Source organism: Homo sapiens, chromosome 6 (assembly GCF_000001405.40).
Source record: "Homo sapiens chromosome 6, GRCh38.p14 Primary Assembly".
Lineage (NCBI taxonomy): Eukaryota > Metazoa > Chordata > Mammalia > Primates > Hominidae > Homo > Homo sapiens.
In genome coordinates, this window is record NC_000006.12 from 130,572,191 (window position 1) to 130,588,478 (window position 16,288).

General features: G+C 37.1%; 1 annotated feature.

The window, feature by feature from the left end:
- Positions 3,890-4,079: a silencer, noted in NCBI's record as "silent region_17540". NCBI's record gives its function as "represses an Ori minimal core promoter by ATAC-STARR-seq in GM12878 lymphoblastoid cells {active_cell/tissue: GM12878}" and the evidence as "EXISTENCE:reporter gene assay evidence [ECO:0000049][PMID:35858748]".

Sequence of the window (16,288 nt, forward strand, 5' to 3'; positions counted from 1 at the left end):
TGGATAAAGAAAATGTGGCAAATATACACCATGGAATTCTATGCAGCCATAAAAAAGGATGAGTTCATGTCCTTCGCGGGGACATGGATGAAACTGGAAACCATCATTCTCAGCAAAGTAACAGAAGAAGAGAAAACCAAACACCGCATGTTCTCACTCGTAAGTGGGAGTTAAACAATGAGAACACATGGACACAGGGAGGGGAACATCACACACCAGGGCCTGTGGGGGCATGGGGGGCCAGGGGAGGGATAGCATTAGGAGAAATACCTAATGTAAATGACAAGTTGATGGGTGTAGCAAACCAACATGGCACATGTATACTTATGTAACAAACCTGCACATTGTGCACATGTACTCCAAAACTTAAAGTATACTTAAATATATATATCAAAATGTGCTGGCACAACTGGGTGGGAGTCATGGTTACCTCTCTGAGTTATTGCATAACAATGAGAAACTGTTGTATGACATGCAAGACTTTCTCATACAGCATCACTATCAGTGAGCATTCAGCCTTTTCTTGAATATTCATAGTTATAGGCAGCTCACAATCAATGGCCACACTCTGAAAACGCCACTCACTCCATTTTCAAACAAATCTGTTAGGAAGCTCTTTAATTGAGTTCAAATCTGCCATATGCTCTAGTTTGACACCCAGCACAATACAGAGTAAACCTACACCATGGGCTACAACTTCAAATGCCAGTTAGTGGTGCTGTTTGGGAATAATAAACATTTTGATAAAGACGTGAAAACAATATACATCTCCTATTAGAAAAAGTACGGGGAAAGAAAGCTGGCGAAAGATTGCTGTGAAGATTGCTCAGTTGTTAAGGGATATGTTGAAAATAACAGAACGGTAAAAAAGAGAGCACATCTCTTGTACAATGGGCAACCTCTACTCATCCCTGGCTATTGGCTGCTGTAAAGGGAGATAGAATTTCTAATTCTTCAAAGAATTGGAAGTCAGAAATCAAGATTTCTACACAAAATCTCATGACTTTAAGAGTTGGCTGCTAATTCAAAACATTTAAAAAATTTGTTTGGGCCAACAACACAGTGCATCTGTAGGCCACCATCCTACCACCTCCAGTCTGAAGCCTGCACTGTGTCACAGCTGTGAGCCTTTGAAGACAGACAGTGGGTCTCTAGGGATATTTTTCTTCCAGATCAAATGGCACCACCTTCATTGACCATTCTGTATATAAGGATTCCAAACTTCTATCTATCCTGAATGATCTTCTGACTTGTTCTGATTTGCTAAAAACCTTCCTGAAGTGCAGGATTGAGAGAGAGAGAGCCCAAAAAGGATCTGATCTGCAGGACAGCATGGCTGTTCTAGACCTACACAGCATCTTTTCTTACGGGCCTCTCTTCCACCAGCCTCTGTGTGTGTTTTTAAAAATCTATGATGAGGATACTCTTGGAGTCCTATTTCTTTCTCATCACAGTAAAGGTGTGATCTAAATGTTGTTGTTGCTTACCAACCTTCTCATCTCTGGCTGTAAATTCATACCATTTTGTCCTGGAAAAATTTTGAGATCTATATTCCAAAAGCAGAAATGCCATCATTTTTATGCTCACCAAGGCAAATTTGTATTTTCTGAAGCCTCTGTTTTCCTAGAATTTTCTTAAGGATAACTTCTCTCTAAATATTCTGATTGCTTCCGGTTCAAAAATCAAATATGCCTTTTATGTTTAAGAAGTATGTTGTTGTTATGCACTAGGCCTTTAACATACATTATCTTTTTTAATTGTTCCAACAACCCCATGAAGTATTTATTTTTCACTTAAAAAATTCATAAAGTCTAGTCAAGTGAAGTAGTGGGAGTGAAGAAGGAACTGTAACTAGTTAAGAAACTGGTTAAGTAACTGGTTAAGATCAATTAGTTGTTAACACCACTGCACTCAGACCAGTCCCCATGAAATATTATCTCAGTTCTGTTCTCTCAGACCGGTGGGAAGACAGGCTTGGAAAGACTAAGAAAATAGCCTATGGCCAAATAGCCAATAAGTATAAAAGTCAGGAATTAAAACCTGGCTGTCTGATTTTAAAGGCTGGACTATTTCCACCATACCACTTGTCTAATTCTTTCTTGTTGGTTAGAATTAAGCCTTTGTGTTAGTTCCATTCATTGTTTATCTTTTGAGACATTTATTTATTAACAGATGTTCAGCTTTATGCCAAACAGGATAAGGCTTACCACAGCTGTCGGGGGAGTTAAAATCCTCCAACACTTTGGAGTTTGCCTCTGTGCAATATAATCCCTATATGTTCTCTATTGCTTGAAACACATTGGGAATAAATGAGCACTCAAAACCCATTTTACAATTTCACCACAAGTAAGTACAACCTGAGTTGCAAACAATAAATAGAAATGAGTATTTTCAGAACTTCAGTCAATCCAGAGTTAGGAATTGCCGGCTTAAAAATGATTTTGAATAATGATTTATGTTTACAGCAGACACTACTGGCTACCTTCTATCTATTTTCTTCTTTTTTACAAAAGAACCACAGTTTTGTTCAGGGTGACAATGTATGCCCAATTTAAAACAGAGACTTTTTTCAGCCTACCTTACAGTTGCAGTGTGGTCTTGTGACTTAGTTCCCGGCCAATGAGATGTAGACAGAACGTGCTGGCTGTGGCTTCATTCAGGAAAATATAAGAAGAGGTAGTCTCGCTTAGCCTGTATCTTTTGCTCTTCACCCTTCTCCTTCTTCTGCCTGGAATGCAGTACAATGGTGAAGGTAGAGCAGCCACTTTTCCACCATGAGGCAACAATCGTGAAAATAAAAGTCACATGTTAGGGGTGGCTGAAAGCAGAAAGAGCCTGAATCCCTGATGGCATTGTGGAGACAATGAACTGTCTAGTTACACACTTGTTATGTAAAAAGCACTAGACCCTTATTTGTAAATTGAATTTTCAGTTACAGGCAGCCAAAACTATTCCTAATCGTTATTACCCTGACCCACACTTTACAAGTACTAGATATAGCTTTTTGTATTACCAAAGTGATAAAATCCCATATGCCAAACGTAGCCCTTTTGTGTCTCTCCATGATGTATCTGGCAACTTAGTGAATCCTCAACATCAGGCAGGTTTGCCGAAAAGGTCAATGATTCCATGACCTCTCCATAGATTGAAAGTCTATGAAAGTAAAGACAATTTCCACATGGTTCACTGTTGTACATAAGATCCTGCTGGTGACATGCATAGAAAGTTAAATACTTGTCCAAGAGATTAATAAATGGATGAACAAATGAGCTGACAGTCTAGTAAGGGAGATTATCAAGTAAATAGATTACAATAAGGGAATCAAATTTTGGTTAACGTAACTGTAGAGCTCCCTGGAGATTATTTTCAAACTGGAGCATGAAAATTGAAGAGCAACTAGCAAGGTAAAAAGTACAGGGAGAAATTTCTGAGGTTAGGGAGTGATAGCAAATGACTGAGAACTGTGTAGTTTTACAGGCCTTAGTGTAGAATCCAAGGAGACTTGGTAGGAGCTACAGGCTGGGGAGGCAAGGAGGAGTTAGATCACGAAGGGCCTGAGACATCCTACCACATAGCACCTTCTTCTGGGTTAGTCTGGGCTAGTTGTAGCTGATAAACTGTTTTCAAAGTCCTCTCAATTTCTCCATTTGCAATCATCAATTTTAGCCTTGACATTGTAAGCGTTTTTTAAGACTGGATGATACAAACACCTCCGACCACATTACAATGACTTCAGCTATTTTTATTCCTATTCCACAAACCTATAACATGCAACGTGAATGCATCTACCAGTGGCTTTAAGAACATCTCTTCTACTATTGAGGTGAGATATGTTTGAAAGACCTCCCTGAGTTAAAAGCTTTAGGGATTGACAGGCAGTTCCATCCCCTTCATTTAGAAACCCTTTGTGCCATAGCTGTCTTCCCCACAACCTGTGAGGTTTCTTGTTGCGGCTACAGCAGCTGTGGTTGAACATTTCTCTGGCTTCCTGTCTTAATAGGGCTTTGTGGTGTGCTGCATTGCCTCTATATACATACGCTTCCAGTTTGCCCCTGTTAGAGCAGACAAAAAGCAACTGAAAGCAGCAGGTTAATATTTGCCCATGAATGGGGTGAAGGTCAAATAAGCAAGTCAGTATTTTTCTCCATTTTTTCCTACCTGTTCCCTCACCTCCCTAACTTATCAACCATCTTTTCAATTGTTCTCTTCTACATCAGCATTCCTCCAAGAGGTTTGGGCCATTTATTGTTGAATCTGATGTACCTTCAACCCCCAGGGAATCTGGGGTGCAGGGAGCTAGCCTGGTCTTCCTGTGAACCACGTCCACTCATCACAAAGCTTAATTTGGAAAGAAAAAAAAATGATTTGAACATAAACTCACCCTTTCCTCATGTCTCTAATGAATGCATGCTCCTTTGCATATTTATAATATGCTGTATTTATCATACACTGTATGGGCAATAAAACCCGGCTCCTTTCATAAAGGCTCTTGGACTGAATGATGGAAGCAATGTGAGGATTTCGGATTTCAGTTTGCTTTCCCATTGGCTGCCATATAACTTTAAGTCAGTTTTGTATTTCCATTAAAAAAAAGTGATTAAAAGCTCAAAAGCTAATAAATGTTTCTGATCTCATTGTAGATTTTCTATTTCTTTTCAGAAGTAAATAATGGGGAGGAAATCATTACATGCATAAGCGAGAAATTATTTCTAAAGTTAAATTATTTCTAATCTAGTTAACAGCTATTATAATGAATAGATTTGCCCAAAAATTTTCAGTGTCACATATGGGGATACAAATTCCTTTGTTTTTGTAATAGTGGGTTTCTTTTTTGTATCTTAATGACAAATTTGCATTTTGACCCTGCCTTGTAGCTGATAGTCCAATTTATATATCTGATTACATTTACTGATGACAGTTTTCTGTCACATTTCAACAGCTAATATTCTTCTTAATGAAAATTTAAGGGTGTGAAACAAATGCTTCTGATGCCCCGTCCCCCTCAACACATTTATAGGTCAGTCTGCTTCTAAAAATATTAGTCTGCTTTTTCCTACTCCTAAACAATGTTTTTAAAAATTCACATGAAACATTTTTCTAATTTTTGTTGCCAACAAGTGTAGATCTCTGCAGACTTTGTTTCCTGCTGTTAATATGCATTATTCAAAAAGCAACGATTGGATTGATGTGGTTCCGTTGTACAGGAAGTGGCATTTATGTATAATCCATGTACTGCTTTTTAAAAATGTAAAATGGTGAAATTCAATACAAATGACAGTCAAGTCTAGTCTCTCAATGGAATCTTTAGTTCTTGTCATCAAAAATCATCAAAAATATTAAATGGTTTACTTAGCAGCTAAATAACAGTGAAAAAATACTCAATAGCACATTTATACCTTCTTAGGAGTATTCCATTTACATTTTTAAGCCCTCTCTGTCCCTGACACCCAGGGCTTACTCTCCTGCAGCTCTCAGAAAGTCCACGGTGAGCTGCACTGACAGTCGTCTGGGCTTGGTCCACCATTACACGTCCACACTCTCTTTCTCCTTCTAGTGCAGCCTTCCTCGGTCAGGCCAGCCACCAGGGTGGAAATCATTTCAAGACAGGTTTGAAACTAGTGACTCCCATTACTCAAGCCTTACAGAGACTCCAAATTGGGTTTTATACACGAGTCATTCATTAACTCATTCCCACAACAATAATTATTGAGGACAACTGTTAAATACTTTTGTTTAATGACTCTTATCGCTAGCTAAACCACTTCCAAAAACTGATTTTTCTTCATCATTGCTCTCATCTGTTCCCAAATTTTTCCTTCATTAAAAAACAAAACAAAACAAAACAAAAACACCTCCAAGCTTCATTTCTTTTCCTCTCTGTGGGGAGGTAAGGAATTTAGTCTCCTCTGAAACAAGCAAATTCCTTACCCTCATGCTCCACATGTCCCTTTCTGATTACAGTTGACCCTTGAACATGACGGTTAGAGGGATGACCCCCTGTGCAGAAAATTTATATATAACTTTTGACTCCCCAAAAACTTAACTTCTAATACCTTACTGTTGACTACAAGCCTTACTAATAACATAATTGATTGACACGTTTTATATGTTATATGTATTACATACTGTATTCTTATAATAAAGTAAGCTAAAGAAAATTAAATGTATTAAGAAAATCATAAGGAAGAGGAAATATATTTACTATTCATTAAGTGGAAGTGGATCATTGTAAAGGTCTTCATCCTTGTTATCTTCATGTTGAGTAGGCTGAGGACAGGGCAGAAGAGGAGAGGTTGGTCATGTCTCAGGAGTGGCAGAGGAGTAAGAAAATCCTCATACAAGTGGACCCACTCAGTTCAAACCTGGTCTTATTTGAGGGTCAACTGTATATTGATGTTTATATTTAGGCTTCCTTATGTGTTAAGTGTTTTGGAGTTAAAGAGACCACTGTGTCCAAAAAAAGTGCCCTACACAGAATAATCAACCAATATTATTGATTCTCTAAAGGGGAGAATAGATCGGTTATCATTAAGTTGCCACTGAAATATAAAACAAAGTTTTATAGTTCGAGTAATCAACATTTTGTGTAAAACACATTTGTTTCAAAGTAAAACCTTATAGGCAGCATTAGTTGAATTTTCAATTTGATTATGTGTGCTCTGTTGAAATTCTTTATTTGTATACTCTCCCAGTAAAAACTAGCCAAATAACCCCTGTGACATGCTTGTGAAATAGTTATTGGCTTTAGAACTCATCAGTGAAAACGGATTGGATTTTCTAGTTCAATTCCAGGGACAAAATACCTACCAATGCCACTGTGACTAAAATAAGTGATTATCCTCTAGGCTAGTGACAGTGAGGAAGAATTAGATTCATGTTTGTCTACTACATTTATGTAAGTGTGGAGGAGAATATCGATTGAATAGAGAAAGGATTGAATACATTAGCATAATTTTCTTTGGGCAATTTTTGTGTGTATAAACAATTTCATTGCATTAAGATAACACAATTACACAATATTTCAAACAATATATAAAAGTATATTACAGATAAAAAGTATTCCATCCCTGTGTTCCAGCCTTCCACATACTCTTCTCAAAAACATCGTTGCTACCAGCTTTTTGCTGTATCATATTTTTTTGCTTCTTTCAATAAGACTTATCTTGACCACTCTATTTAAAATGTTAACCCACTTAGGCTCTCAAACCCCGTATCACATATCATGCTTCGTTTTTTCTGTTATAAATTTTTATCCCCTTCTAACATACATATTATTGACTTATTATGATTTGTCTATCGTCTGTCTTTCACACTAGAAACCAAGTTGTGTGAGTACTGGGAGGTTGTATATTTTATTCATATGCTTAAAGCAGCTATTCATACTCAACAAATATTTGTCAAATTGAGTGGATAAATGGCTGAATATATCCTGGAAATTTCATGCCTAATGAAGTAAATGTATGTGTGTCTCCCTTAATTCCTAACCATTTACCCCAAAACTTAATATAGTTATAAAATATTATGAATTTCGCTTCCTTTCTCAAATAAAATTTCCCAAGATTTTTTCAAATTAGTACATTTACACCTGCATTATCCTTTTTAAACAGCTACATGGGAATTGACTGCCTCCAACAAAATTTATTTTACCACTCCACTCTTGATGGACAAGTTGTTCAAAGTGATTTGCTACTTGCAAACAATGTCATAATAAATATCCTTATATAAATCTTTATGAATATATAACATTATGTCTGTAGAGTATATTTTCTTCACAAAATACGTACCTTTTAAATTGTGATGAATATCATCAATATCTTCACAAGGAGACTCTCCAGTTTACTAAGAAGGATTATCAATATGCCTATTATTCAATCATTAACTAACTTGCTATGTTATGAAAAATCTGATGGGTGAAGATGATATATAAGCACACTTTAATCTGGATTTCTCACATTATGGATAATGCTTATCATCTTTTCATAAGATCTGTTGAGTATTGCTCATCCTTTTCTCACTGATATTAAGAACTCTTTGTTTATTAAGAAAATTAGTTCTTGGTTGGTCTTCTTTTCATTTATCTTTCATACGTTTTTGTGTTTCATGCCTTAAAGAGGTCTTTTAGTTTTTTTAATAAAAAATACAATGTATTTTAAAATAGATTCTGAGTCTTAGTCAAGATTTGTATATGGCCTCACAAAATAATTTTTCAGCTTTTATTTTAGAATCAAGGGGTACATGTACAATTTGTTACAAATGTACACTGTGTGATGCTGAGGTCTTGGGTATGACTGAACTCGTCACCCAGGTAGTGAGCCTAGTGCCCAGTAGTTAGTTTTTCAGCCCTTCTGCCCCCTCCCTCCCTCTCCAATAGTCCCCAGCCAATGTCATACTGAAGGGGCAAAAGTCAGAAGCATTCCCCTTGAGAACTGGGAAACAGGGATGCCCACTCTCACCACGTTTATTCAACAGAGTACTGGAAGTCCTAGCCAGAGAAATCAGACAAGAGAAAGAAATAAAAGGCATCCAAATAGGAAAAGAAGACGTCGAACTATCTCTCTTCACATACTATATAATTTTATACCTAGAAAACCCTAAAGACTCCACCAAAAGTCTCCTAAAACTGAGAACCTCAGTAAAGTTTCAGAATACACAAATCGATGGACAAAAATCAGTAACATTTCTATATACCAATAATGTTCAAGCTGAGTGCCAAATTAAGAATGTGATCCCCTTTAAAATAGCACACACACAAAATAAAACATCTAAGGATGCATCTAAATTTTTTATAATCCCCACGTTAATTCTAGTACTCCCATAATTTTTGCGATTGTCTTTATTTTCCCCCTAGCTTGAGGTATAATTGGCAAATAAAAATTGTATATATTTACAGTATATATGTTTTCATATATATGTACATTGTGAAATGATTACACAATCAAGCTAATTAACATATTCACTTTACATAGTTAACATTTTTGTGGTGAGAATATTTAAGATCTACTCTTTTAGCAATTTTCAAGTATACAATACATTATTATTTACTTTAGTCATCATGGTGGAAAATAAATCTCCAAGACTTATTCATCTTGTCTATTTTGATTGATTTTTAAGCCCTGTATCAAACTACTTTTGGTAAGAGTTCTTAACTAGTAAGTATATTTCTTTTCATAATTTACAAAAGTTTAGCAGTTTTCAGATATACTCATGTAACTAAAGATGCATTTTAAAAACAGAATGGAGATTTTATCATCCAAGAAAGTAGTTATGAATTAAAGTACTAAAAACAGAAGTCTTTTAAAAATATGTATATTGTTCATAATAGTTCTATGTCTGAAAATATAAACCACCCTACTTCAAAGGAAGCTACTCTATAGTGCTTAAGTGGAATGAAATATGAATAAATGCTTCAAAACTCTACAACTTAAGAAAGAGTAGGTGATAAAAGGTATAAAGCTGTACTTTGAATACATAGTTTGTCTTAGAGTAGATTAACCACTCATCTTGCAATGAAACTGAAAAGGTATTTTAAAAAAGAAACCAAGCCAGGAAAAACCCCAACAATTCCCAAAGTTCACCTTAATGCATATCAGGCTTCATTTTATGTTATTAAAGCAAAAATACTGCAAGACACCAATAAATAAAAGTACAGGCTTCTGTGCTCTTGAATTAACATGTTACATAATTTACAGCCATATTGTGGTTTAGTTCTTTTAGCTCCAGAAGGAAATTGAGATGTTTTCTTCCAATCTTACAGGATTACAGGAAGCAAAAATTGAAAAAACATTGATAATTTAAATAATATAAATATATTTAAGTGTTTAGGGTTTTTGCACCCTAAATTACTGTGACAGGCTAATGTTTCTTCTCTATCTCAATGGAACCCTAAAGATTTCTCTTCTGGAGAGGATAAAAAAGGGTTTCTGGACTGGGGAACACCAGGCTCAGTTGAGGAGGCACTGCTATTGGGAAACAGGAGGATTAAATAAGAGTTATGTAAGGAACAGTGTCGACACATTTAACAGGAGACTAGAAAAGACGTCTCTGGGTAATTTAATTACCTGCAGGGAAAACATTTAAGGATACAGACATCCAAGTTCTCAAAAGAATGTCCCAGCCAGCTACTTCTCCACTGAAGACTAGAGTTGACAAGCCCAATACCCCTCCAGCATTCTAGGGGGTTTGGAGGAGGGCATCAAACGTGAAAAACTGTGGCCCAAAATGGGGAAAAAGCAGTTTGAAGAAAACAAAGTCTAAAGAACGTAAAAAAATAATAATAATAATAATAACAACAAGCAAAAACCCTCACACAATTATACAGGGAAAATAAAGTGTCTTCAAGAAAGGAATGGTATGCCTAGTATACTGCATAGCTCGGCTATCTACATCATCTACATATTTATACTCATTTAAACACCAAATATTAATATAAATAAATTCTTTATGTCTATACCAGCAGGTATAGTGATCCCTAACTTTTTTAAATCATAATTTTTAATGTAGCAGCTGGGAGGTAGACGCCTCATTAATCAGTTAAAGATGTGAAAGAGTCTGTCTCTGAGGAGCAGGAGGGAGCTAGGATTGAGGGGCTGCGAGGTTTAGTCAATACGACTTATTGGACTACTTGATTCCTTAAGTTCTATAGCACTTACAATACATGAGATATTTTTAAAAGTAAATTTTTAAAATAAACTAAATGAAAACTGTTTGCAGCCAGAAAAGAGGTGAGAAGAAACTAGCTTCTTCTAAAAAATATATTGTATCTATTCCCTTGCACGGGGCGGGGATGTCTCTTTTGGATTACAATATGACAGGGATGTGGCTGGTGCTTTGTTTTAAACATCATATCTTTGAACACACTGTTGTATAAGTATCCACAGAAACTCTGTTAGCTTGGGGAGCAACACAAATGTCTTTGTAGTTTCTTTGTCTCAATCAGGTTAGAGATCCTTGGAATATTACCAGTCAGCATCTACAAACCACAGTGGGGTGACTTCTGTTTGAAGGGTTGGGATCTGTAATCCTTATAAATCAGATACTGTTGACATTGCCTAAGTCAGCGGTCCCCAACCTTTTTGGCAGTAAGGACCAGTTTCGTGGAAGACAATTTTTCCACAGGATGGGGCAGGGATGGTTTCAGGATTAAACTGTTCCACCTCAGATCACCAGACATTAGATTCTCATAAGGAATGCACAAACCTAGGTTCCTCACATGCGCAGTTCACAACAGGATTCGCGTTCCTGTGTGAATCTAATGCCGCCGGTGATCTGGCAGGAGGCCGAGCTCAGGTGGTAATGCTCGCTTGCCAGCCAACCGCCTCCTGCTGTGCAGCCCAGTTCCTAACAGGCCACGGACTGGTAGCGGTTCACAGCCCAGGGGTTGGGGACCCCTGGCCTAAGTCATCTGAAAATTATGTCTATGTGATTTCTATAGTCTTTTTTTACCTGAAATAATGACCAACCATGAAGCTGACCCCATTCAATAAAGCAGGGACAAGGTAAAGAAGATAATATTTCTCAAATGCCAGACCTCATGCTAAGGGCTTTACATATTTTACCTCATTTAATCCTCACAGCAACACTACTGGGTAGATGTTATTATCTTTGTGTTTAAGATGAGAAAGCTGAGAAGTTAATTAAAAAGTCATACAGTAAGAAAAAAGGTAGGCTGAGATCAGAGCTCCAACGTACCTGATTCATTGTGTAATGTTTTGTTTATTTCATTTATTACCTATAAGGTCAGGCTCTATGAAGAACTAAATGTAACGAACAATAAGGATAGAGTGCTTCTAAAGGTGATGCTTGAAGTCTTAAAAGTAAATTTCATTGCACATTGAATCCTTTTCTTGTGGAGAAACACTGCTATAAAAGTGAGTAGGAAAATACTAGTTACTTACAGATAATTGCCTTACACCTTGGTCATCAGAAACACATCTAATTGTATGTAGAGATCCACTTCTACCAGAAAACATACCAACAAATTCCAAAAGAAATTATCAAACTCCACAGAGATCAGGGATTTGTGTGACAAGAAGGCTTTTCTAACAGTAATTCCTTGCTGATGTGTTAATCTACTTTGACAGAGTCAGTGCCTTGCAGATTGAGAGGAAACAATAAAGGATATTTCCTGAAGTTGGCAAAGGCTTTTCAATTCAGTTTACACACTTGTAGGAAAGCAAACTTTTGATGTTATGTTGGTGAGTAAAAGCAAAATAACAATCTATATATGTCATTTGAAGTGCAGGTTTGCTTCTGAGATGGATAAATGGGGGGATTGTGACCTTGGGCAGTTTGTGATGAGAGAGAGCGGGGGTGGTATCAGAGTTGATGCTAGAGCCATAGGAAACTAGGAATTGAAGGATGGTTGGTCCTTAAAGTTGTAAGGTTCATTGGAGGTCAGAAGGATAGACAGATCAGTTCTGTCTCTACAATTAGGGAGAGAGAACTCATAGCAAAGAACCAAGGGTATCTTGGGATCTGTAAAGCATCATTCCAAAAGAAGAAGCTTAAGTAGAGCAGCCACATATCTTTCCCCCTCTCTCTCTTCTGACCCACAGCCCACACCCGTACTGACACCACATTTGAGACCAAATATTGCCATACTCCCTCCTCTCACACGTCCCTGCAAGTCCCCACACAGCCTCCGCTCCGATGCCTTCAGTGTTAAGCAACTAAAAGCCTTGGGTGCCAGCTTATTCTATGCTTGGACAGCTCAATATAACTGCTAGTTTTATTGAGTCACAAATCTTTCTGTAACATCCACTTATTTATCCCACTTCTGCAGTCTCAGTGGTGTTGTCTATATTATCCATATGCAAGTATTTGAAGATATCAGATAATTTTCTAGCTGCTTTGTATTATATTCACATATAGATGAGATCTAGTAAGAAGTGTCTATATAGGTGGATTCTGGGATGAGTTAGTTGCAACTTGACCTAAAATGCAGGCAGCCTCTTTTGCCTAAAATTCAAAATCAATATCTGGCACTAAAAGTTGGAATGTTTACCTCAAACATTGACCCTTGAAAGCGTACCACTTTAAAGACTGTAATTCATCTGACATTGATGTTTGGTTGACAATTAATATGTTCACACATCTAGTAAACCTTTGGATTCCTCCCACATAATGCATGCAGTCTGATTTTTGTGACAAAAACAACTATTTATCATTCCAGCCTTTTCATCCAATACTTCGCCTTTTCATCTATTTCTATCATTCTTTCCAGACACTACTATACTATGATTGGTCACCTGAAAGTATTTTTTTACTTCACCAGGGGCAAACTTTAATGCAGAGTGCTTAAAAAGTCAGAGAGGAAATAGATTAAACAGGGCTTAAATTCTCCTATACCAGCAGTTCTAACCAGAAACATACTTCATTTTTTTGGGAGAAAGCTTTGTAAAAATACATATGCCTAGACTATCCTAGGGAGTCTGGCCATGAGATGGTCTGTATTTAGAAAAAGCTGCCTGGGTAATTGTGATGTGCACTCTTGGTTGAGAACCATCGTCTAACGTTGGTCCTACCCTTTGTGGTCTCATTTAGCATTCTCCTTGACTAAACAATTTGGTTGGTTTCACTTTGTATCCATCATTCTTTGCCACGTAGAACCTACGATCTGGTAGTGAGAGAGATTTCCAAAGAAGGTAATGTAGTAAGAGAAGAGTAGAGAGCTGAGGCCCAAACCAAGAATAGCACCCACATTTAAGACAGAAAAGCAGCTCGTGGCAAGAACAGTTTGCATGGAGTAGTTGGAGTGGAAGTAAGATCCCAGATGTCAAGAGCAGGCACTGGAGGCACAGAGGCAGCAGCATGAAGCAGGAAATTGACTCTGCTGTACCCCAGCTCAGGATGCCCACCTCTCCCTGCCCCATTCTCCTGATATCCACACCCTCACCCATCTTTTTTTTTTCCATTTTAGCTATGTGCTACAGCCAGTTAGAAAAAGAAGGGAACAGATAAGTAGTATACCTGGATCACAGACCTTCTGTTATAACCACTCACCTCAAGTGCAATGAGCTTCCCATTACAACAACCTCGGGCCACAGTATCGTGTAGGAGACAACTATACAGTCACAGGACACGACAAAGGGAAGAGTAAACAAGATATAAAAAATAAAACTGTTGAGAAAAACTCCAAGGTACTAAGGCAGTAGTGATTGTAATTTGGTTCCAAATGTCAAGTACAGGTAGCTTAGATGTTTCAATACCTCTTTGCCCTTCTGAATGCTAAGTGATTGAACAGAAACCCCACAACAAATTTCTGGAACATATCTGGCCTAAAAACCTTGAAGCAAAGCTCAACACAACTTGAAAGCACTGGACTCATTGGGCAGGGGTTCCTGGTCCTTTGCTGGCTCCCTGCTGCATTCTTCAGATCACACACATTTTCTGGGAATTTGTTCAATGGCTTTATTAGCTCTGTCTCTCAGATATAAATTCCTTGATATTTTATTCCAAACACCATCAAATATACAAGAATACATTCCCTACCCTTTCATATCTTTATTCACATAACTGCCCGACACATATTTTTTAATCCAGAAATAATTAGTGTGGAGTCTGTGGGCATATGAGTATTTCAAGAGCTCTCTCAAGTTGATTAACTCACTCATCATAAGGTAAGTTTATCTGCATAGATCTTTGAGATGCAATGTGCTTTTCCTCTCTGGAGACTCCTTTTGCACTCTTGAATATGTTGAAGTTTTCTTTGTTATAATAGCCCTTGTTCTAATAAAGAGAAGCTACTCACTCATTGGCTCAGGAGACCCTTTATTCACAGTAGCCAGTATTGAACAGAAGATGCTTATTTGGCAGGAGCCCAATTTTAAAATAATAATAATAATAATAAAATCAAGTCATATTTCAGCTTCCAGATTGCAAAAGATTGATATGACTGAGTCATTATACTTGATTCTTGACTTTAAGATGTACAAATAAAGAAAAGGTCCTGGGCATGTCTAAAAAGAGAGGTTCTTAACCCAAGTCTTCATGATTTTAGACTATAATTTTGAGTCAAGCTTCCTGTATACGAAAAGACTGCCCTAGCCTTGTGTTATTCTTCAGGAAGGACTGCCCGGCTAGAAGGAAAAACCAGCTGCCACAATCCCACCCATATGTGAAGCTATGTCCCCATCACTTTCTTGTTCCCAGCCCATCAGAAGGTGGGTCTTTCCTCAATGGCTCATTTTCTCCAAGATTGTGGGGCTTACCTTTTGTTTCTTTACTCCTAAGAACTGCCGAAAGGAGGGTAGCCTAATTATTGTATCAGCTGCTTTGTCTTGGATGTGGAGAGGAAAGTTTATAATTCTAGAACATTCTTACAGTAAGTTCTTCGTGATCAGTACAGATTTGCCCATGAGCCACTTTAAAGCAATACATGCTGGAACAAAACAAATTCATCATGGTTTTAACTTTTAAAATCATAGTACCATTTTTGAAATTTTGAAATAGTTCTGGTAGAGATATTTATAAATAGGCATTTGCCAAATGTAGAAGGGTAGAGGGAAATTTCAAACAGAAGAAACGATATATGCAGAGGTAAAAAGGAAGTAAAATCTTGCCATTAGTAAGAAATTAAAAGAAGTTTGAAATAGATGATGAAGTATCATAAAATATCTACCTCAGAGTTGTGAGGAAGAAGAAAGATAAGGCAAAGGTCAAATTATAAAACATATTTTTTCTACATTAAGGAGTTTGAATTTTACTCTGAAGTTTGTAAGATCTACAGAAAGATTTTACTCATGGGATGACGTGGTCAAACTTTGGATTCAGAAAGATTAATCTGGCAGCTGTGAGAAGAGTGAATAGAAGAGTATCAGATTAGAGACAGAGAGAAAACTGTGACTTTGGGGAAGTTAATCTCTTTGAGCATCAGTTTCCACATCTGTAAAGTGGAAAGTAATAAAAACCTAAATAGTTTGTGCCATAGTGAAAAGTACATACACAGTATGATATGTCTGAGATTGGGAAGTACTCAATAAAAGACTGTCATGTATATTATAAGCTACCTGGACAGGGTCAGGGAAAAGAGTTGAGATGGGATTGGAGGGTAGCAGGAAATGAAATTGACTCACTCAAGAAACATTTCTTGAGCATCTACTTTGCATCAGGCACAGTGTCAAACAATGAAACATACTTGTGGTCTAGTACATAAATCCTTCATGTGTTATACATACCTTGTATCCTAGCCAAAAGCTACTGACTGCAAAGGAACACGTACATTGCAAATAACCTATGATTAATGTTTCAGGAGATTTTTCCATTATATAGCTAAAGAAAAAACTCTTTG